The sequence below is a fragment of the Homo sapiens genome, chromosome 8, assembly GCF_000001405.40.
Source record: "Homo sapiens chromosome 8, GRCh38.p14 Primary Assembly".
Taxonomy (NCBI): Eukaryota; Metazoa; Chordata; class Mammalia; order Primates; family Hominidae; genus Homo; species Homo sapiens.
Window position 1 is genome coordinate 39,801,457 of NC_000008.11, and position 22,831 is coordinate 39,824,287.

General features: G+C 36.4%; 1 protein-coding gene across 6 annotated transcripts in view; it reads right to left on the reverse strand.

Annotated features, from left to right (window-relative positions):
- Positions 1-22,831, reverse strand: part of ADAM2 (ADAM metallopeptidase domain 2) — a 94,493-nt gene that overhangs the window by 57,722 nt on the left and 13,940 nt on the right. For 3 of the 6 annotated variants that reach the window (NM_001278114.2, XM_005273468.1, NM_001464.5), the window contains exons 5-7: positions 20,130-20,206; positions 19,546-19,714; positions 7,954-8,010 (exon numbers count right to left, since the gene is read on the reverse strand). In NM_001278114.2, the coding sequence (NP_001265043.1) occupies positions 7,954-8,010; positions 19,546-19,714; positions 20,130-20,206 (303 nt within the window). The remainder of the gene's footprint in view (positions 1-7,953; positions 8,011-19,545; positions 19,715-20,129; positions 20,207-22,831) is intronic. The other 3 variants (NM_001437784.1, XM_011544479.1, NM_001278113.2) reach the window with 1 other exon arrangement.

A 22,831-nucleotide genomic window follows, 5' to 3' on the forward strand; every position in this document is an offset into this window, starting at 1 on the left:
GGGGTCTGACAACCCCTCTTGGAAGGTCTCACTCAGTTGGGTGGCATGGGGAATAGGACTTGTTTAATGAAGGACTTTGTTCCTTGGTGGAGAGGGTGTGTTTTACTAGGGGGAAACCCATTCATCTGGGCTGCTCGGATAACTCAGAACTACCAGGAGGAGAGGCTAATTCTGCTGGTCCACAGAGACTGGGGCCGCCCCTCCCCCTGGGGGCTCAGGCTCAGGGACATCCGGGTTCTGTCCCTGAGCCTCTGGCTGGAGTTATTGGAGATGCTGCAGGGAAGCCCCACCCACTGAGGAGGATGTGTCAGGATTAGACCTAGAGAGGCACGCTGGCCGCATACTGCCACAGCCAGTGTGTTGGGCAGTGGGAACAAATCTTGGGAACAAGCCATCCAGCCTTCCTGGTTCCAGCAGGGGAAAAGAGCAGCCTGGGACTATAGAAATGGGTGCCGCCCTTCCCCCGCCCAGGGAGCTTAGGCAGTTGCTAGTCCCAGAGCTGGCTGCTGCCCCTCCCCCAAGGAGCTCAAATGGTGTAGACAGCAGGCAGCCTCAGCCAGTGCTGGCTGCCCCTCCCTGGGGAGTTAGGTAGGCTTAAGCATATTCCAGCTGAGAGGCTATAAGAATCTGCGTGTTCCATGGTTGAGACACTAGGCCCCAGTGGCGTGGGTTCACAAGTGGGATCCATGGGTTTCACAGTTCCGTGGGAAAAGCAGTTTCCCCAGCTGGGTTGTGTGCTCACTCACTGCCTCCCTTGGCTGGGGGGAGGGGATTCCCCTTCCCCGTGCGGCTCTCAGGTGGGCTGCCACACCACACTGCTCTTCCTTCTTTCCGTGGGTCATGCCAGCCTTCTAGTCAATTTTGATGAAAGAACCTGGATACCCTGGTTGCCGCTGAAGGATTCACAAGCCTCTTATGGCTTTTTTTCAATGGGAGACTCCGAATGCTGCTGCTTCAAGTCGGCCATCTTGGCCCCCCCACCTCATTATTAGATTCTAGCTCTGTTCATTGTTTTTGAGGTTTTGTTACCCACCTATAAACTGAACTGAATCCTGAATTCTTCTTATTTCCTTCAATATCTGTGTGTGACCCTTCACACTCACATCTGCAGTTTTCTGCACTTTTCTGACTTGGAATCACTAAAAACGAAAACTACCTTTATTACTGGAGCCCCTACAAACTGGAGCTGGACAACTTGATGTAAATCTTAAGAGAAAACCTTTGTGCCCAATGTGCGAGACACTCAGAGAGTTCACCAAGGCACCTGGTGCTATAACCAGGGACTACCTAACTGCAAACCAGAAAAAAAATAGGCTTTAAGCTCAGATCTGAAAATATTTTCAACTAACTGCCCTCTGAACTCAGAGAAAAAAAAATCGTTTGTTCTAGCCATCAACTTTTGTTTTTCTTTTGTTATTTTAGTTGATTTGGCTCATGGTGACTTTGAGTCAAAAACTGAACCTCTATAACCAAGAATTATGACCAATTATTGGGTACAATTTTGCTAGTAGTTATTCTAGTAATCTCCGGAGTGCACTGCCTCCTCTCATGAATCTTAATGCTTGCTTGCAGCTATCCCCCACACAACAGTTGATCTAATTCTACAATTAGAACAAGATTGAGAGCAACAGAAAAGATCGACCATGGATCCTGAAATTGTGATTTAAAAATTTCACTCTGAGACTAAATAAAAAACTGCAGCATCATGATGACTGAGAGTGGCACTAATGCCTTAAATTTTGATCAAACCGCTCGGTATCACTGAGTCTGGCAAAAGGTGGAAACTTAAAGAAAACATGGCAGGCCTAAAATGAGTCACTCATACTAAAAATCCACATGACCATCTAAACTTAAGTTGTTTATTTGTAAGATCTGGCCTTCTGAGAATTCAAGGAAAACATGATAGCCAAATCCCTAAATGGTCCAGTTTTCAAAACAAATAGGGGATTCTCGCAACCAATCCCAAGGTGCCCAGTCAACCTGAGCCAATATAATGACGTTCCCTCTGTTTTATCCCGTACAAGCAGAGTGATCTCATGTTAAACAATCCACTTTTTTTGAGCTATGCTTCTTCCTTGTTTTTGATAAAGCTGCCTTAAAAAAGGCGACTTTTCTGCTGTGCCTGGAGCTCCTATTTTGAAGACTGGATGATGCCTCGTTCATTAATTGCTGATAAAAGCCAATTCGAACTCTAAAACTCAGTTAGTTGTAATGTCCTTTAGCATAATTAATTTTGGGGATAGAAATCAGAATCAAAATGAAAATAAGACTAGACTGAAAAGATATTTGGAGTGGTACTGGGATTAGTAAATACCGATGACCCTTTTAAGGAGCGTTATAAGTGAAAGTAAAACATCGACATGTTAGCTGGAGAGAAGGACGATTATCTTTGCTTATTTGTTTTGTTTTGTTTTGTTTTTAATATGGGAGAATACTTATTTGCTGATGGCCAAGAACTAATAAGGATTGATGTGGGCAAGAATTGTTAGAGCCACATCCTTAAGGAGCTGAGTGTGAATGTGCACGTTTGGAATTCTAGTGTTAGACTGGAGCACCATCTCATTCGTGGTAATGGCAAGGAAAACAGAGTGCATGATTAAGTATCCAGGCTAAGTGTTTGAGCAAGTGACAAGAGTTTGTGGATGTTCTCTTCTGATTTCTTTTATCAGCGAAATATGAGTCAGCAAGGCAAGACAGTGGGGAGCATAATGACGTTTCAGGATTTATGGAACTAAAGTGAGAATATGCCCTATCATTGTGTGCTTTATTGCAGTTGTGAACAAATTATTTGATGACTTGGATTTAACCAGGTTTGAGGTTTTTCCAGAGAGGCAACTAAAGGGAAAATGGCAAGGGAGTTGCAGGTGTTCGTAGGGAATGACGGTAATCATGAAACCATAGGATATGTGGTTTTCAATGGAAGAACTGAGTACATGGAAAAGGACAATGCAAAAATTGAAGAATTAATGGATAAATGTCTTGGTGGCATAAAATATTAAAGTCTGGAAATGGGAAAGAGAAATATAAGAGGGAGTATTCAAAGATTGAGAGGCTTAAATATAAGAGTAGAGAAGAGTAATGTGATAGCAATCCTGAAGTATAATATATGATGATGAAAGTCAGTGGCTGAGGCAGGTTGATGAACAATACTATTGAAATAGAGAAATCAGGGAATTAAAAAGTAAAGACACTGGAAGAAATAGTTACGTTGACATTAAAATTATAAAAAATTATGATATGAGTATTATTAAAATATGGGACAGTCATCAAAATGCTAAACACTTCAGTAAAAAATAAGTATGGTAAAGTTTAAAAATAGCTTCATATTTTTGGCTTCTGAATGCATGGTATTTTGCATTCTGGTAAAGTGCATAGCTTTACATGTCTTGCTTAAAATACTCTTAAAATACTTGCAGTATCTTAGAGTATACTTCTTCTCTACTCCTTGATGAGATGTGTGGAGTGATCATGATTGTCTTAGTCCATTCAGGCTGCTATAACAAAAATATCACAAGCTGAGTAGCTTATTAAAAACACATTTATTTCTCACAATTCTGGAGGTTGGAACATTCAAGATCAAGACACTGGTAGATTTGGTGTCTGATGAGGGTTCATTTCCTTATAGATGGTACCTTCTAGCTGTGTCCTTATAGACTGAAAGGGGCAAACAAACCTTTTTAGACCTGTTTTACAAGGACATCAATCCCATTCATGAGGGCTTTGACCTCATGACCTAATCACCTCTCAAATATCCCACCTCTTAATACCATCACATTGGGGATTATGTTTTGATAGGGACAGGAGGCAGCCAAATGCCTAGGCAGATAGGCGCAGGTCAAGAAAAGTGACTAGGGGATCTAAAGGTGACTATGACAAGGAGTAGAATGTTTTATTAAAAATATCTAGTTTACAAAGCCAATGAAAAGCAAATTCATAGAAATAAACTTGGAAAATGTAGTGAGACTCCTGAAATGGTAAAAACGATAAGCTCTGCAAATCCTTTGCACAATAAACAAAGATAAAACAAGACAAAATTGTCAAAAATCATTTCAAGATTCTGGAAAATGACCAAAGGAATACAAAACTTTAAGAATAATTTATTAAAGAAAAACTATTAATGCTATGGTAAAAAATAATAATAATAATGGGAATTTGTGGCATTTTAGCTGAGCTGTTCCCATCCTCATAGCTAGCTCTAGCCTGTGGCAATTCTACCATAACAGCTCAAGCCAGGAATCTAATAGCTTCCCTATTAAAGTAGAATGACATGATTTGTAGCTGACAGCAGGGAGACCACACGCTTAGGTACATTGTCAAAAACAATAGTTATCTGTGGCAAATGAACAGGGAAGGCCAACATCACATCTAAACATAGATTGTGAAACTGGTGATTTTAAGCAACAGATCAGAAGATTAGCCAGAAACCTAGCATGAAATTGTGGACAATGCAACAGCCAAAATGGTCTCGAAAGCACCCATATAGTCATGGTAGTCAGGAATATTCCATATATATATGAAGTAGCATCCATGCTCAGGGGAAATTGGAAAGGGCCAAGCTATGCACAATTTCATGGCTGACTCACTAGTAGAGGAGATGGGAGTAAGTCCTGCAGAAAGTAAAACTTGCCTGAGTGAAAACTGCCTGGATATTGAATACTTTTTCCAACACAAAGGTAAATCCATTGGCAAAGAGTGGAAGCCTTATTTTCGCAAGTTGTTGGAACATAGACTCTGACCAGTCAATAAGATATGCCAACCCAAGGACAACCACTAGGAATCCAGGCTCAAAAAATGAAAACGGGAATTGAAAAAAAAAATGCAAAGACATCAGTGATGACACACTGCTAGAGAGGCAGAGTCTTCAGAATTGCTCCAGCAAAGCGCTAAACAAACAAACAACAGAAGAATAGAAACAACGATTTCAAGATAGGCTTTCAGGATTCAGAATTGCCCAACTATATTATATTAAAAATGTCCCGTTTTCAACAAAGTATGACACATAATAAAAAAAAAGTTATATATAATATATTATAAATATTATATTATTTGTAATATTATTATAAACATATTATATATAAATATATATAAAATGCAGGTAATGTAAACTATGTTCTAGTGTTTTATTAGAGGTAAAACTTGTGAGTGACAAAATAGAATATTTAATTGAGAAGATTTCCAAGCAAAATGTTAGAGCATTGAGTGGCATTGTGCCTCCTGACTGCTTACCCTGAAATGCAAAATGATAGAGAAACTGTAAAGCAAAGCAGAACCAAAAGTTGAAGATTTGGAGATTTCCTGCCTATCTTTGTTGCAAAGATTGTTCTAAGGAGAACCCTAAGGAAATGGCTGCACAATCATTTGACAAAAACTTTATAGGATTATATGAGTGAAAACACTGCCTGTTTTAACTGAAAGGGATAGAGACAGGACACAATGAAGGAGGGCTGCCAGACTTCTTAGATTTGACAGGATGGAACGATACAGGTGAAATGAGCTGAAAATGAGCGCTAATAATAGAGAAGAGGAAAAGATACCCTGAAGGTGATTCAGAGATGATCGGAGCCACTGCCTTAATTTCCACAGTTTGGATGGCCTTTGCCTGTAGCCTTGCTGGCAGGACCACCCAGCGACCCCACCCATGGAAGTGACACTGCCCTCCCAGTAGACCTGGAAAAGGGGCATCAAGCCAAACAGCATTATTCTTGAGGCTTACAATCTAAGTAAATTTGTCTTGCTAGACTTTCGGACTTGCTTGGAAACCATGGCCCTTTGCTTCCTTCCTATTTTTCCCTGTGGAACACAAAGTTCTACTTATCAGGTTTCATAGCTGGAGGGGAATTTTGCCTCAGTATGAATTGTACATCCTGACTCACCCACGACAGATTGAGATGATATTTAGATGAGACTTTGGACTTTAAATGTTAGAGTTGGAGCTGTTAGGATGGAATGAACACATTTTGTCTGGGAGAAGGACACGAATATGGGGAAGTGAGGGCTGGAGTTCTATGGAGTAAATTATCTCTCTCCAAAATTTCATATTTTGGAGCCCTGAGCCCCATTGTAACAGTATTTGGAAATGGTATCTTTGGGATATCATAAGGTTTCAATGAGGTCATAGGGGTGGGCCCCTCAAGATGAGATTAGTGCCCTTATGGGAAGAGATACTAGAGAGTTTGCTTTTTGGTGGCCATCTGTAGGCTAGGAAGACAGCCCTCACCAGAATGTAACCATGCTGCTACCCAGGTCTCAGATTTCCAACATCCAGAATAAATATACTACACTATATATACAAAGAAAACCTAAGAAAACTGTTAGCAAGCTGAAGCCAGAAATATATAAAAATGATTATGCATCATGATCAACTGGAACTTTAAATTACTGTAAGACACTTAACTGATATAATGACCAAAAATTCCCATAGTCATCTGAACAGAAACAGAATGTACATTTCACAAAACTCAACACCTACTCCTGATAAAAACAGTAACAATGACAACAACACAGCAGCTAATATTTAATTTATTAGCACATTAAATGGTGAATCTATGGCTTTCCCACAAACATTGAAACTACAACACAAGTCTTCTCTCAACTTACACTTAATCATTGTCCTGGAGGTTCTAGCAAAGACAATATTGCAAGAAAATAAATAAAAAGGCTTCACATTGGAAAGGCTAAAACAAAGTTATGTTTTATCACAAAATGATCCTGTATGCAGAAAGTCCTAAGGAATACACACACACACACACACACACACACACACACAATTACAAGTAATAAACATTTTTTGCAAAAATCACAAGATACGAGATCAATTAACTTTTTTTACACTACCAAATGAACAATCAAAATGAAAATATGAGAAGTAATCATATTAGAAACAAGATTAGGAAATAGGAATAGATTTAACAAAAAGCAAAGGACTCATATACTGAAAAACTACCAAATATTGCTGAGAGAAATCAAAGAAGATCTAAATAATGGGGTGGATATATGATGATCATGGATTAGAATATTCCAAATTGTGAAAAAATATCCTTCCCAAATTGATCTATAGAATTAACACAGTCTCTATCAAAATATAATCATCCTTTTTGCAGAAATGGATAAGGTGGTCTTAAATGGAAATTCAAAGGACACAGAATTGCTAAATATTTTTTAAAACATAAGGAAAAAGTTGGCCAGGCACAGTGGCTCACGCATGTGGTCCCAGCACTTTGGGAGGCCGAGGCAGGTGGATCACGAGGTAAAGAGATCGAGACCATCCTGGCCAATGTGGTGAAACCCCGTCTCTACTAAAAATACAAAAATTAGCTGGGCATGGTGGTGTGTGCCTGTAGTCCCAGTTACTTGTGAGGCTAAGGCAGGAGAATCACTTGAACCCATGAAGCGGAGTTTGCAGTGAGCCGAGATCATGCCATTGCACTCCAGCCTGTGGGACAGAGTGAGACTCCATCACAAAAAATAAATAAATAAATACATAAAGAAAAATAAACATATTGATCACTTATTTTACCCAAGTTTACAATATTTATCATTAAAATACTTAATCACCACCTTTCATCCCCAGTATAAGCCATTATTTTCCTGTCTACAAAAAAAATGTACAGATGGGAAACTTTTATTTCTTTTTAAATAATATCCAAAATGTCAAGCATTATTTTTAAAATTCAGTATAGTTCTAGAATACATACAAGTTTCTATAATAATTCTAAAACTATTTGTAAACTATTATAGAGGTAGCAATTATTTTCTTTATGTTGCTATTTATAAAATTAAACACTATATAAAATTTGATTCTCAATTTACTACTGATATTAATAATTTAAAGTGCATTAATGCAGAGCTAAGGCAAAATTATCAATTCTTTTCTGTTAAAAATATATTCCAAATTATTATTACAATCCCTCATTGCAAATATTAAGGGACATAAATAAATCAGAATATACTTACCAATTGTTTTTCAACTATAACATGCATTTCTATATACTTTGCAAAATCTTGCTGTGGCTGAAAAAATCCACAAATTTTACATCAAAATTACAGAATTACTTAAGTATTTTTAGTGCATGTCACTACTATTAATGAACTAAATATTGAAAAACACAATTTTGCATATAGAAATAAAACCAGATAATATAAGCAACACTAGATATCATAAAATCATTTTCATCTATTTGTCACTTTTCTGTACCTAATCAATTATTTAATTTACTTGGGAAACAACTTCCCTCTATCTTCCATTCTCCATATTTTCATTGGTTCCAAGCTATTCATATTATTCTCTCTTTTACCAGGCCTGCCTTACAAGAGCTCCTGAAGGAAGCACTAAACATGGAAAGGAAAAACCGGTACCAGCCACTGCAAAAACATGCCAAATTGTAAAGACCATCAATGCTAGGAAGAAACTGCATCAATTAACGAGCAAAATAACCAGCTAACATCATAATGACAGGATCAAATTCACACATAACAATATTAACCTTAAATGCAAATGGGCTAAATGCTCCAATTAAAAGACACAGACTGGAAAAATTGGATAAAGAGTCAAGACCCATCAGTGTGCTGTATTCAGGAGACCCATCTCATGTGCAGAGACAAACATAAGCTCAAAATAAAGGGATGTAGGAAGACCTACCAAGCAAATGGAAAACAAAAAAAAAGCAGGGGTTGTAAACCTAGTCTCTGATAAAACAGACTTTAAACCAACAAAGATCAAAAGAGACAAAGAAGGCCATTACATAATGGTAAAGTGATCAATTCAACAAGAAGAGCTAACTATCCTAAATATATATGAGCCAAATACAGGAGCACCCAGATTCATAAAGCAAGTCCTTAGAGACTACAAAGAGACTTAGACTCCCACACAATAATAATGGGCGACTTTAACACCCCACTGTCAACATTAGACAGATCAAAGAGACAGAACGTTAACAAGGATATCCAGGACTTGAACTCAGCTCTGCACCAAGTGGACCTAATAGACATCTACAGAACTCTCCACCCCAAATCAACAGAATATACATTCTTCTCAGCACCACATCGCACTTATTCCAAAATTGACCACATAGTTGGAAGTGAGGCACTCCTCAGCAAATGTAAAAGAACAGAAATTATAACAAACTCTCTCTCAGACCACAGTGCAATCAAATTAGAACTCAGGATTAAGAAACTCACTCAAAACCACTCAACTACATGGAAACTGAACAACCTGCTCCTGAATGACTACTGGGTACATAACGAAATGAAGGCAGAAATAAAGATGTTCTTTGAAACCGATGAGAACAAAGACACAACATACCAGAATCTCTGGGACACATTTAAAGCAGTGTGTAGAGGGAAATTTATAGCACTAAATGCCCACAAGAGAAAGCAGGAAAGATCTAAAATTGACACCCTAACATCACCATTAAAAGAACTAGAGAAGCAAGAGCAAACACATTCAAAACCTAGCAGAAGGCAAGAAATAACTAAGATCAGAGCAGAACTGAAGGAGATAGAGACCAAAAAAAAACCCTTCAAAAAAATCAATGAATCCAGGAGCTGGTTTTTTGAAAAGATCACCAAAATTGATAGACCACTAGCAAGACTAATAAAGAAGAAAAGAGAGAAGAATCAAAAAGACACAATAAAAAATGATAAAGGGGATATCACCACCAATCCCACAGAAATACAAGCTACCATCAGAGAATACTATAAACACCTCTATGAAAATAAACTAGAAAATCTAGAAGAAATGGATAAATTCCTGGACACATACATCCTCCCAAGACTAAACCAAGAAGAAGTTGAATCCCTGAATAGACCAATAACAGGCTCTGAAATTGAGGCAATAATTAACCAAAATAAGTCCAGGACCAGATGGATTCACAGCTGAATTCTACCAGAGGTACAAAGAGGAGCTGGTACCATTCCTTCTGAAACTATTCCAATCAATAGAAAAAGAGGGAATCCTCCCTAACTCATTTTATGAGGCCAGCATCATCCTGATACCAAAGCCTGGGGCAGACACAACAAAAAAAGTAAATTTTAGACCAATATTCCTGAGGAACATCAATGCAAAAATCCTCAATAAAATACTGGCAAACCGAATCCAGCAGCACATCAAAAAGCTTATCCACCACGATCAAGCTGGCTTCATCCCTGGGATGCAGGGCTGGTTCAACATATTCAAATCAATAAACGTAATCCAGCATATAAACAGAACCAAAGACAAAAACCACATGATTATCTCAACAGATGCAGAAAAGGCCTTCGACAAAATTCAACAGCGCTTCAGGCTAAAAACTCTCAATAAACTAGGTATTGATGGGACGTATCTCAAAATAATAAGAGCTATTTATGACAAACCCACAGCCAATGTCATACTGAATGGGCAAAAACTGGAAGCATTCCCTTTGAAAACTGGCACAAGACAGGGATGTCCTCTCTCACCACTCCTATTCAACATAGTGTTGGAAGTTCTGGCCAGGGCAATCAGGCAAGAGAAAGAAATAAAGCATATTCAATTAGGAAGAGGGGAAGTTAAATTGTCCCTGTTTGCAGATGACATGATTGTATATTTAGAAAACCCCATCATCTCAGCCTAAAATCTCCTTAAGCTGATAAGCAACTTCAGCAAAGTCTCAGGATACAAAATCAATGTGCAAAAATCACAAGCATTCCTATACAATAACAGACAAACAGAGAGCCAAATCATGAGTAAACTCCCATTCACAATTGCTTCAAAGAGAATAAAATACCTAGGAATCCAACTTACCAGGGATGTGAAGGACCTCTTCAAGGAGAACTACAAACCACTGCTCAACGAAATAAAAGAGGACACAAACAAATGGAAGAACATTCCATGCTCATGGATAGGAAGAATCAATATTGTGAAAATGACCATACTGCTGAAGGTAATTTATGGATTCAATGCCATCCCCATCAAGCTACTAATGACTTTCTTCACAGAATTGGAAAAAACTACTTTAAAGTTCATATGGAACCAAAAATGAGCCCGCATAGCCAAGACAATCCTAAGCCAAAAGAACAAAGCTGGAGGCATCACACTACCTGACTTCAAACTATACTACAAGGCCACAGTAACCAAAACAGCATGGTACTGGTACCAAAACAGAGATATAGACCAATGGAACAGATCAGAGCCCTCAGAAATAGTACCGCACATCTACAACCATCTGATCTTTGACAAACCTGACAAAAACAAGAAATGGTTTTTCCCTATTTAATAAATGGTGCTGGGAAAACTGGCTAGCCATATGTAGAAAGCTGAAACTGGATCCCTTCCTTACCTTATACAAAAATTAATTCAAGATGGATTAAAGACTTAAATGTTAGACCTAAAACCATGAAAACCCTAGAAGAAAACCTAGGCAATACCATTCAGGACATAGGCATGGGCAAGGACTTCAGGACTAAAACACCAAAAGCAATGGCAACAAAAGCCAAAATTGTCAAATGGGACCTAATTAAACTAAAGCGCTTTTGCACAGCAAAAGAGACTACCATCAGAGTGAAGAGGCAACCTATAGAATGGGAGAAAAGTTTTACAATCTAACCATCTGACAAAGGGTTAATATCCAGAATCTACAAAGAACTTAAACAAATTTACAAGAAAAAATCAAACAACCCCATCAAAAAGTGGGTGAAGGATATGAACAGACACTTCTCAAAAGAAGACGTTTATGCAGCCAACAGACAGATGAAAAAATGCTCATCATCACTGGCCATCAGAGAAATGCAAGTCAAAACTACAATGAGATACCATCTCACACCAGTTAGAATGGTGATCATTAAAAAATCAGGAAACAACAGGTGCTGGAGAGGATGTGGAGAAATAGGAACATTTTTACACTGTTGGTGGGACTATAAACTAGTTCAACACTTGTGGAAGACAGTGTGGCAATTCCTCAAGGATCTAGAACTAGAAATACCATTTGACCCAGCCATCCCATTACTGGGTATATACCCAAAGGATTATAAATCATGCTGCTATAAGGACACATGCACACGTATGTTTATTGGAGCACTATTCACGATAGCAAAGACTTGGAACCAACCCAAATGTCCATCAATGACAGACTGGATAAAGAAAATGTGGCACATACACACCATGGAATACTATGTAGCCATAAAAAAGGATGAGTTCATGTCCTTTGTAGGGACATGGATGAAGCTGGAAACCATCATTCTGAGCAAACTATCACAAGGACAGAAAGTCAAACACCACATGTTCTCACTCAGAAGTGGGAATTAAACAATTAGAACACTTGGACACAAGCTGGGGAACTTCACACACCAGGGCCTGTTGTGGGGTTGCGGGCGGGGAGGGATAACATTAGGAGATACACCTAATGTAAATGACGAGTTAATGGGTGCAGCACACCAACATGGCACGTGTATACATATGGAAGAAAGCTGCACGTTGTGCACATGTACCCTAGAACTTAAAGTATAATAAAAAATAAATAAATAAAATAAATATATGTAAATAAATGTGTGTGTTGAAAAGGTGGGCAGAAAAAAAAAAGAAAAGAAAACTACACAGATGCATGAGAGAATGCCAGGAGCTGTGTGTGTTGAAAAGGTGGTCAGATGCCAATTTTAAAAATCCACAGGCCAGGCGTGGTGGCTCACACCTGTAATCCCAGCACTTTGGGAGGCCGAGGTGGGTGGATCACTTGAGGCCAAGAGTTCGAGACCAGCCTGGCCAACATGGCAAAACCCTGTCTCTACTAAAAATACAAAAAATTAGCTGGGCATTGTGGCTCACACCTGTAATCACAGCTAGTCAGGAGGCTGAGGCAGGAGAATCGCTTGAAACTGGGAGGCAGAGGTTGCAGTGAGCCAAGATCACACCACTGCACTCCAGTCTGGGTGACAGAGTGAGACTCTGTCTCAGAAAAAAAAAAAAAATCCACAATAGCCAAGCCATTTTATTAAGACAAAGTAGCCCTAAAAGGAGACAAAAGTGCTTACATACATGATGTTGAAAGAGGACTCCAAATTTAGGACAAAGGTTGCCTTGGCCAAATAAAGACTAAGGAATTGGATCTAGTCAGAAATATCAGAGAACTCACAGTATTACACTGATCCATTTGCAATATGTATGAATGAAATATTCAGATTTAAAAACGTCAAAGGTCCTTGGTTAAGAATATTCAGGAAGTTGGAAGAAAAATGTAGGTGATTGATTTATCCATCAATAAATAGACAGATAGATAGATATGGGGTGTGTGGGTGCGGGTGTCCATGTGTGTGTGTTTCAATCGAACAACCAACATGTCCTGTATTGAATTATCAACTCAGGAGAAAATTTGGACTGGGACTGAATATCTGTAGGTTACAGTAGGTAAAGCCATAGAACTATATATATATATGATATATATGTAATATATATATTATATGTGATGATAACAAGCTCAAACATGAGATATAACAGAGCAAATATCAATATTTAAAATGTGAATGTATAAGGAAAAGTCAGAAAAAGTAAGAAAGAATGAGAAGCAAGAGACAGCATTATTGCAGAAAATAAGATGACTAGAAAGTTCTAGGGAATTTTTACTTTCACTCTTTAAAAATGTATCTCAATATTTCAAAAAGCCAATTTAACAATGGATCACCACTGATTATTTGTGGAGACAGAAACTGCATTTTTGTGAAATGAATAGTTAATGAGCTGTCAGGATGGATAGTTCCACTTATTCTAATATAAAGCTGGTATGTGAAGAAATGGAAAGTGCTAGGTATATAATAGATTCTATTTTATTTCATTTATTTTTAAATCTATTTTTAGTATTAAGGAGATATGATTATGTTCGTATAATGAAGGAACTGTAGATGATAATTCAAAATATTACACATAATAAAATGATTAATGGAATAAGGTTATAGGATCTTTCTGTTTAGAATTATAAGGATGGAACTCAAGTGAGAGAAAATAATAGATACTCAAATTTAGGAATTAAATTTTTATGTTGGAAGTAGGTGGAGGATAAAATGAGGCTAGCAAATAAAATGAGATAGAATAGGAATACAGATGGTTGAGAACTGTGATTTCCCCATTGCTCTACATTTTCAGATGTTTCTTTGAATATGCTTATTTATTCATGTTTTGTAAGTGAACTTAATAATCAACTTGGCAAGCACTTCCTGGTAGAAGCTTCTTGGTATTTTGGGAAATGGGGCAGGGAATTACATGAAATTTTTAACCAAAACAAATGAATAACTTTATGACCTTTTAAATACAGCAGAAAGAATATTTAAATGATAATAATTTTTATTTCCAAAAGTGAGGACAGCATAAAACAGCATGAGGGAATGAACAGAATGAGAAAAGATATGAATTATTTAAAACAATAATGTGAGTAATAACAGTAGTAGTCCTATGAAGTGTATAATATGTATAAAAATAAAAACATATAATGATAGCACAAAGTAGAACTTTTAAAGTTTTAAATAGTTCCACCACAATTAGATATCAGTTCACACATAATAGGATGGCTATAATCAAAATGACTGGTAATAAATGTTGAAAAAAAAATGTGGAGGAGGTCAGGCACGGTGGCTCACATCTGTAATCCCAGCAGTTTGGGAGGCTGAGGTGGGTGAATCACCTGAGGTCAGGAGTTCAAGACCAGCCTGGCCAACATGGTGAAACCCCATCTCAACTAAAAATGCAAAAAATTAGCCGAGCGTGGTGGTGTGCACCTCTAATACCAGCTACTCGGGAGGCTGAGGCAGGAGAATCACTTGAACCCGGGAGGTGGAGGTTGCAGTGAGCAGAGATCACGCCATTGCACTCCAGCCTGGGCAACAAGAGTGAAACTACATCTCAAAAAATAAAAAACAACAAATAAATAAATGTGGAGGAATTGGAACCCACAGATGTTGTTTCAGGAGATATAAAATTGTCAGCCACATTGGACAAATAATCTGGCAGCCACTCAAAAGGTGAAACACAGAGTCTGCGTATGACCTAGCAGTTCAAATCTTAGTAATTACCTAGAGAAATAAAAACATATATCCACATAAAACATATATTAATGTTCCTAGCAATATTATAATATTTAAAAAGTAGAAACAACCAATTTGTTCATCAGCTTATGACTATATGACCACGAGTGGTATATTTATACCCAGGCACATGTTATTCAGCCATAAATATAAAAGAGGTACTGATGAGCTTTGACCACCTTATAAGTGAAAGAAGTCACAAAAGATATTGTAAGATTCCAGTTATATAAAATATCTTGAAAAGGCAAGTCTATATCTATGACAATAGATTTGTAGTTTCCCGGGAAGACAGGGGAATGAAGAATGACTGCCATGGTTATAAAGTTTCTTTGTAGGGCATAGAGTCTCTGTCACAACTATTCAAGTTTGCCACCATAATATGAAAGTATACATAAACAATATATAGAATAGCAGTAATAGATGTTATTTATACAAACAGCCTGTGGGCCAGATTTGGCCTGAGGGCCATAGTTTGTCAACTCCTAATTAGACTAGCCACTAAAATTATTATGTTGTAAAAATTGTTTTGTATTCACAGACTATATAAGAGCAAAATATATGAAACAATATATAATGTAAAAGCTCATTAGAGGAGAAAAATAAAAATACTTGATTAATAAAAAAGATGTAACATCATGATTAAATCCTTGAAAAAAATAAATAGATTAGATATAAAAGAAGAAAGAATAAAGGAATAAGGAACATATAAGACAAATAAGAAATGACAAAGTGGTAGATTAAATCTAAATTATGTAAGTGTGTGCATTAAAAGTAGATGCAATAAATAACCTTGGCAACTAGAAAAGTTGAGCTCATAGAAGTAGAGAGTGACATCGTGGTCATGAGAGGATAGGAAGGGTCAGGGGAGGAACGGATGGGGAAAGGTTGGCTATTGGTTACAAAAGTACAGCTAGATAGAAGGAGTAAGTTCTAGTGTTCTATAGCACCATAGGGTGACTATAGTTAACAATAATTTATTGTATGTTTTCAAGTAGCTTAAAGAGGCAATTTTGAATGTTCCCAACATAAACAAATGATAAATGTTTAAGGTAATAAATAAGCTAATTACCCTGATTTGATCATTACACATTTTATTCAAGTATCAAAATATCATTTGTATCCCATAAGTGTGATTATTATCTGTCAGTTAAACATAAAATTGTCATATGTGATTTAAAACGTTTAAAAACTTAGTAATATGTGCTTTAAAAGAGATACACTTTAATTAAAATATTATTAGCTACTCTGACCACACAAAAAAGAAAATATTTAAATTAATAAAATCAGAAATGAAAAAGAAGATTACTAAAAATCGTACCGATATTTAAAGACCTATAAGGGAGTCCTACAAACAACAATATGACAAGAAATAAATAGATAAAATAGAAAAACCTCTATAGACACACAAACTACCTAAATTGACTCCAAAAGAAATTAGAAAATTATAATAGACTTAATGAGAAAAAATTTAATTACTAATAAAAATCCTTCCCTAAAAATGTCCAATCCCAGATGGATTTTACAGATGTTGAAATAATTAAATCAATCCTCCACAAAGTCTTCCAGAATAGAGGAGACAACACTTCCCAACTCATTTCGTGAAGTTTGTAACACCCTGATACCAAAGACAGAGAAAAATATCATATGAAAACAAGTCTGCACAGCAATATTCTTTATAAATATAAATGAAAAAAATCTTCAAAATTATGCCAGCAAACTGAACCCAGCAATACATAAAAAGAATTATGCACTATAACAAAGAGAGACTGGATACAAGGTTAGTTTAATAATCAAAAGTCAATTAATGCAATACACCACATTAACAAAATAACGATAAAAATGAAATTATTATCTCAACATACGTTGCAGAACAAAAATATCTGACAAAATCCAACAACCCTTAATGACAAAACAAAAATCATTAACAAACTAACACTGGATGAAACCTTCTTTAACCTGATAAAGGGCACCTGTGAAAAAATTACAAATAACATGCTTAAGGGTGACAGACTGAATCTTTTCTCCCTAAGATTGGGAAAAGATGAGAACATCTCTTTTTCACCTATTCTATTCAACATTATAATGGAAGTAGTAATCAGGACAATTAAGTAAGAAAAAGGAAATTTGAGATATCCTAGTTGGAAAGAAACAAGATAAACTATCTTTATTCAAGATGGCATGACCATGTACATAAAAAGTCGTGGAGTTCAATAGAGAACTAATAAACAAGTTTGTCAAGTTCACAGAATACAAAACCAATATGGAAAATTCACTAATTACCAAATACTAATAATGAGAAATCCAAACTGATATAAAATTTAAATAACATCTAAAGTAATAACACTTCTATAAATAACAAAAGAAGCTTTACTGAAGACTTAGGCTTAAATATATAAAACATTGCAGAAATAAATTAAAGAATATCTAAAAACTAAAAGCTACCTACTGCTCATGGACAGAGTTAATATTGTTAATATAGCAGTATTCCTCAGGTTTATCTACAGATTCAACACAATCCTGGGTGCCATTTTTTGGAAATTAAAAATAAATAAATTTTAAAATACGTTTGGAAATGCATAGTAGCCAGAATAACCAAAATAATCTTGGAAAATAAGAATATTGAAGGATGTACACTTACCAATTCCAAATCTTACTACAAAAATACAGTAGTAAAGAAAACGTGGTAGTGGCATTAGAGTAGACATAAAGATTAATGGACTATAATTTTAAGTCTGGTAATAATACTTAACATTTATTGTCAACTGATCTTTGAAAAAAATCAAGAATGCTCAATGAGGAAAAAATAATCTCTTCAACAAATGGTGTGAGGACAGCTGGATATTGATATAAAAAAATTTGAATTTCTACCTCATCCAATAAAAAATATTAAAGTATCATATATCAAAATGAGATTAAAGAATAAAACATTTAGAAGAAACATAAGAATAAATGATGTGATATTGGTGTGATGATTAATTTTACCTGTAAACTTGGCTGGGCCACTGTGCCCAGATATTAGGTCAAACATTAGCCTGGATGCCTCTGTGAAGGTGCCTTTTAGACAAAATTAACATTTAAGTTGGTAAAGCTCTAGTAAAGCACATTACTCTTCATTATGTGGGTGAACTTCATCCAATCAGTTAAAGCCGTTTTTAGAAAACAGAGTATTTTCTAAACAAAAGGGAATTCTGCCAGCAGACTATGTTGGTCTTAAACTGCAAATCTTCCTTGGATAACCAGCCTGCCTGCTTACCCTGTAGATTTTGGATTTACCAAGCCTTCACAATCATCTGAGTCAATTCTATAAAATCTCTCTCTCCCTCTCTCTGTATGTACTCTCCCTCTCTGTGTATGTACACAAACACACACATATATATCTCCTATTGGTTTTCTATTCTCTGGAGAACCCTGATATAGATGTGGGTACCAGGAATGAGGTGCCAAGAAAAGAGAATCTTAAGCGGACATCTTCTGAATTGGTGCTGGGGTTTTGGGAATTTGCCTTCTACTTTGACTAGATTTAAAGACAATTCTATAGAGAGAAGATAGTTCATGGCATGATGTAGCAACAAAGACAGGCAAAATATTACCACTGAATACTTCTGATCAAAGACTTATGAAGGCAAGGGTCTTGGTGACCATGTATATGATACTTTTGAACATTTTTGTCAAACTAGCAAATATAATGAGATTGGCTGCTCCTAATGTTGCTGGACAAAGTGGAGAAAGAAGAGAATAAGCCAAAGTATTTGAATTACCATCTCAAGTGATGCATAAATTATCCAAAAGCTTCTTTGTGTGTCTTGAAATAAATTTTTATATCCCATAGCCACAGAGCTGAGATTACTGAAAACCAAACCCAGAATCTTATCCTGTCAGTGGATGAATTACAGTGCAAACTGAATTCCTAACCTCCCATGGTACTGCCGTCAAAGAGAAAGCATTGAGTGGGAAGCAGTGGGATCCTGAAAATTGGAATGGGAACCTAGAGAAGAACCCTAATGAAGCTGGGGCTATAAAACTCCTAAATGCTGGTGAATCTTGTTTGCTAATAGAAGCAACCTCTCTCTCACTTTCTGAGGATATTAAATAACCCTGAATCCCCTGAGGAAAATATAATGACCTCCCCTGAGGCAGTTCCCTTACAAGATAGGGGTGACTCTCCTCAGGACCCTAGATATGTATCTCCATTTTTTATGTGGATGGCATTTGTGTTTGTTACACCAGAATTTTAACATAATGGCTATGGGGAAAGGAGTACATCTGCTGACAATAAAGGTCTAGATTACAGAAAAAGATGCCACTAACAGTTGAAAATGTCATGATTGGAGTTCTGGAAAATTACAAAACTAGTTTTAAGGCTTAATGATATAAGTTATGAAGTTTCTGGTACATGTATCCATACATGTGGCTATATGTTTTGGTGTTTATGGGTGTGTAAATATGTAATTTATCAACTATAAATTTCAGTGCTTACATTGCTGTATAGTAATAACCATAGAGTTTGTTCAATTAATCACCTACCTCTACGCTTTGTAATTTAAAGGACAGATCTCTTGATTCAATATCCTTCTCATTATATAAGGAAACATCTGCTTTCTTATGTTTTACTTGGTAAATTACATGTTCAAAGCCAACTGAAGACTCCAGGGGTTCTATTCCATAACTAACATTTTCAAACTGTAGTACGCCCCTAAAAATTTCAAAAAAAAATTAATAAGTAAAACAATGCCTTGTGGAAAAGCCAATAAAATGCCACTTAGCATTATTTTTTCATGGTATGCAGATTATTTTTAGCCTGAATCTAAGGTGATAAAATAGGAGAAAGTTACTGGGTATCCACAAACTTACTGAGTGACACCGCATAGTAATGCTGTTAGCATTTGCCTAGCTATTAATATTTCATGGCTTCCAAATATATTTAAAAAATCATAATCCTGCATAAGGGCAGGAGCCATCATAAGTATTTCCATACCATGCTTTGTGAGTGGCAGTTTTCCACAATAGTCATGCCACACTTTAGAACCACTGAATATTATGTTAAAATGTTTAAAATAATTTTGAAGTAAATATTTTATTTTGTAATTCATAAAACAGTAAATTACAACCTGAGTCCAGTACATGTGCTAACCATCACCACAGATTTTGGATAACCTTCAATATACCCTTGGTAGTGGCAGAAATTCTGAAAGATAAAATACACATATCTCCATTAGAATGGTTTGTGTTACAGATACAATTTTCAAATATGTAAAACATATATGTGTTTTGTTTTTATGCATCAAACACTCATGTTTCAAAAATGGATTTATAATGTTATTAGATGAGCATATGGCTTGGTTTTCCAAAGTACTCCCCACAGATTTATAAAAAATGAGTATATTTTCATATTTCTATAGGTTTTAAATTAAGCATGACATTCTCAGTTGTTAAGAATGAGGTAAACATCATCAAAACTTATATTTTTCATACTTTTCTGACAATGTTGCATGGTAGATAAGCAAAGTTAATTTTTAATTCCATCAAAATGTTTTCATTTGCAAATTTCACCTGGATTTTGTATTTACTTTTGCTTTATAGTTCATCTTTCTACTGTGATACCTAAAATCTTAGTTTGTACCACTTTCCAAATACCATACTTCATGGACTCAATACACTGTATTTCTATTTCCATCTTATTTAGAAATTTATGTGAAAATATTTGTGCTTTTATTTTTATCACCAATTGGGGTATACTTCATACTTTATATAATGAAGGTAAAAATATCTTGAACATTCCACAGCTTTTATCTTCTTCCTTCCAGATGTGGTTTATAATATCCAGATTGATAACATTTCTAATTCTGTGGAGTATCAGGAAGTTACATCAACCTTAAACACAGGATGACATTGAGAAACTTAGAAATGAAAGAATAAGTCATTTTTAAGTCACATAGGATAAAATTTTCATGGAAGAATCAAAAAGCTTCACTTATTACCCAATATCCTTTCGCAGTTTATTTTTATCTTTTATTTTTATCAGTCAGTTTTGCATTGTTTGCCTTCACTATAATATCTTCTTGTTCAATATTACATTTGCACTTGAAAAGTATGTGTATACACTTGATATATTTGCTGAATTTCTTTCTACTTCATTTAGAAGTTTACAAAGTTTCTTTCTACTTTATTATTAGAAGAGAAGTGTTTAAATCTTCAAATATAAGTATTATTTGTCTGTTTCTTTCATTTCCGTCAATTATGCCTTCCATAATTTGAGGATTTGAGGTCTGTTTTTTTTTTGTTTTGTTTTGTTTTTTGTTTTTTGCTTTTTATGATGGAGTCTTGCTCTGTCGCCAGGCTGGTGTGCAGTGGCGTGATCTCGGCTCACTGCAATCTCCTCCACCTGGGTTCCAGTGATTCTCCTGCCTCAGCCTCCTGAGTAGCTGGGACTACAGGCACATGCTGCCATGCCCAGCTAATTTTTGTATTTTTAGTACAGACGGGGTTTCACCATTTTGGTCAGGATGGTCTCCATCTCTTGACCTCATGATCTGCCCGCGTTGGCCTCCCAAAGTTCTGGGATTACCGGTGTGAGCCACCACACCCGGCCTGAGGTCTGTTTTTATGTGCACATACATTTTAGATTGTTTAAGCATCCTGGTAATTTTACCTTTTAATTATGATGACTATCTGTTTGTCCTGGAGAGATCACAAAATCCAGGACAATGATGAATGGCTTACACTTGTCCTACTCTGGATGCAGGGAACAAACTCTTTCCTGGTTTAGCTGGCTGATTTTTTTTCTTTTGTAGATAAGTCTTTATTTATCAAGATAATATGACTTTAGGAATGGGAATCATGTGTGGACTTAAGATAAATAAATAATCCAATAAATACACCTGTTCCCAACTGAATTTAATGAGCTTTTTCCTAGGATAGAGGTAGGCCTGCAACCTTGGCAAACACAATTTATTTTCAAGGCAGCATGTTTTTACTACATTTGAGATCAACTTGCAACTACTTACCACATTCAGATTGTTGATGCTTTGAATGCTTTGTAGCATTCTTGCTTGTTTTTTTTTTTTAACTGTACATTTATCTTTCATGGTTACCTCTTGGGAGGTAGGAAGCAGAGTTATGTATGGAAGAATGATACAAAATACAGGTGTGAGATATTGTGATCTCCTGTGCCTCTGTCTTGGATTCTCACTCTATCTTCTGTCCTCTCTCTCATGCATGCAAATACAAACACACATACGCACACACACATATGTATGTGTGTGTATAACACTATGTAACAGTATATTAGTTATATATTTATATAGACTACTCTATAACTGACTCATAGAGTTGTGTACTCTCTTGGGCAAAACTTAAAGCAACTAACCATATCTATTACTTCTTCTGTTGAAATCCTAGCCTCTCTAAAAATGCTTTACTTTCAAAACACTTGATTGAGTCGCTATATAGAAATCAAGAACAACAAATGGAAAACACAACAGCAATTAGTAGAGCAGGGCTGAGGTTAAAAAACAAAAGAACAGAGGCCAGGAGTAGTGACTCACTGCTGTAATCCCAGCACTTTGGGAGGCCAAGGCAGGTGGATCACCTGAGGTCGGGAGTTCGACACCAGCCTGACCAACATGGAGAAACCCTGTCTCTACTAAAAATACAAAATTAGCCGGGCATGGTGACACATGCCTGTAATCCCAGCTACTTGGGAGGCTGAGGCAGGAGAATCACTTGAACCCAGGAGGCGGAGGTTGCGGTGAGCTGAGATCGCGCCATTGCACTCCAGCCTGAGTGAAACTCTATCTCAAAAAAAAAAAAA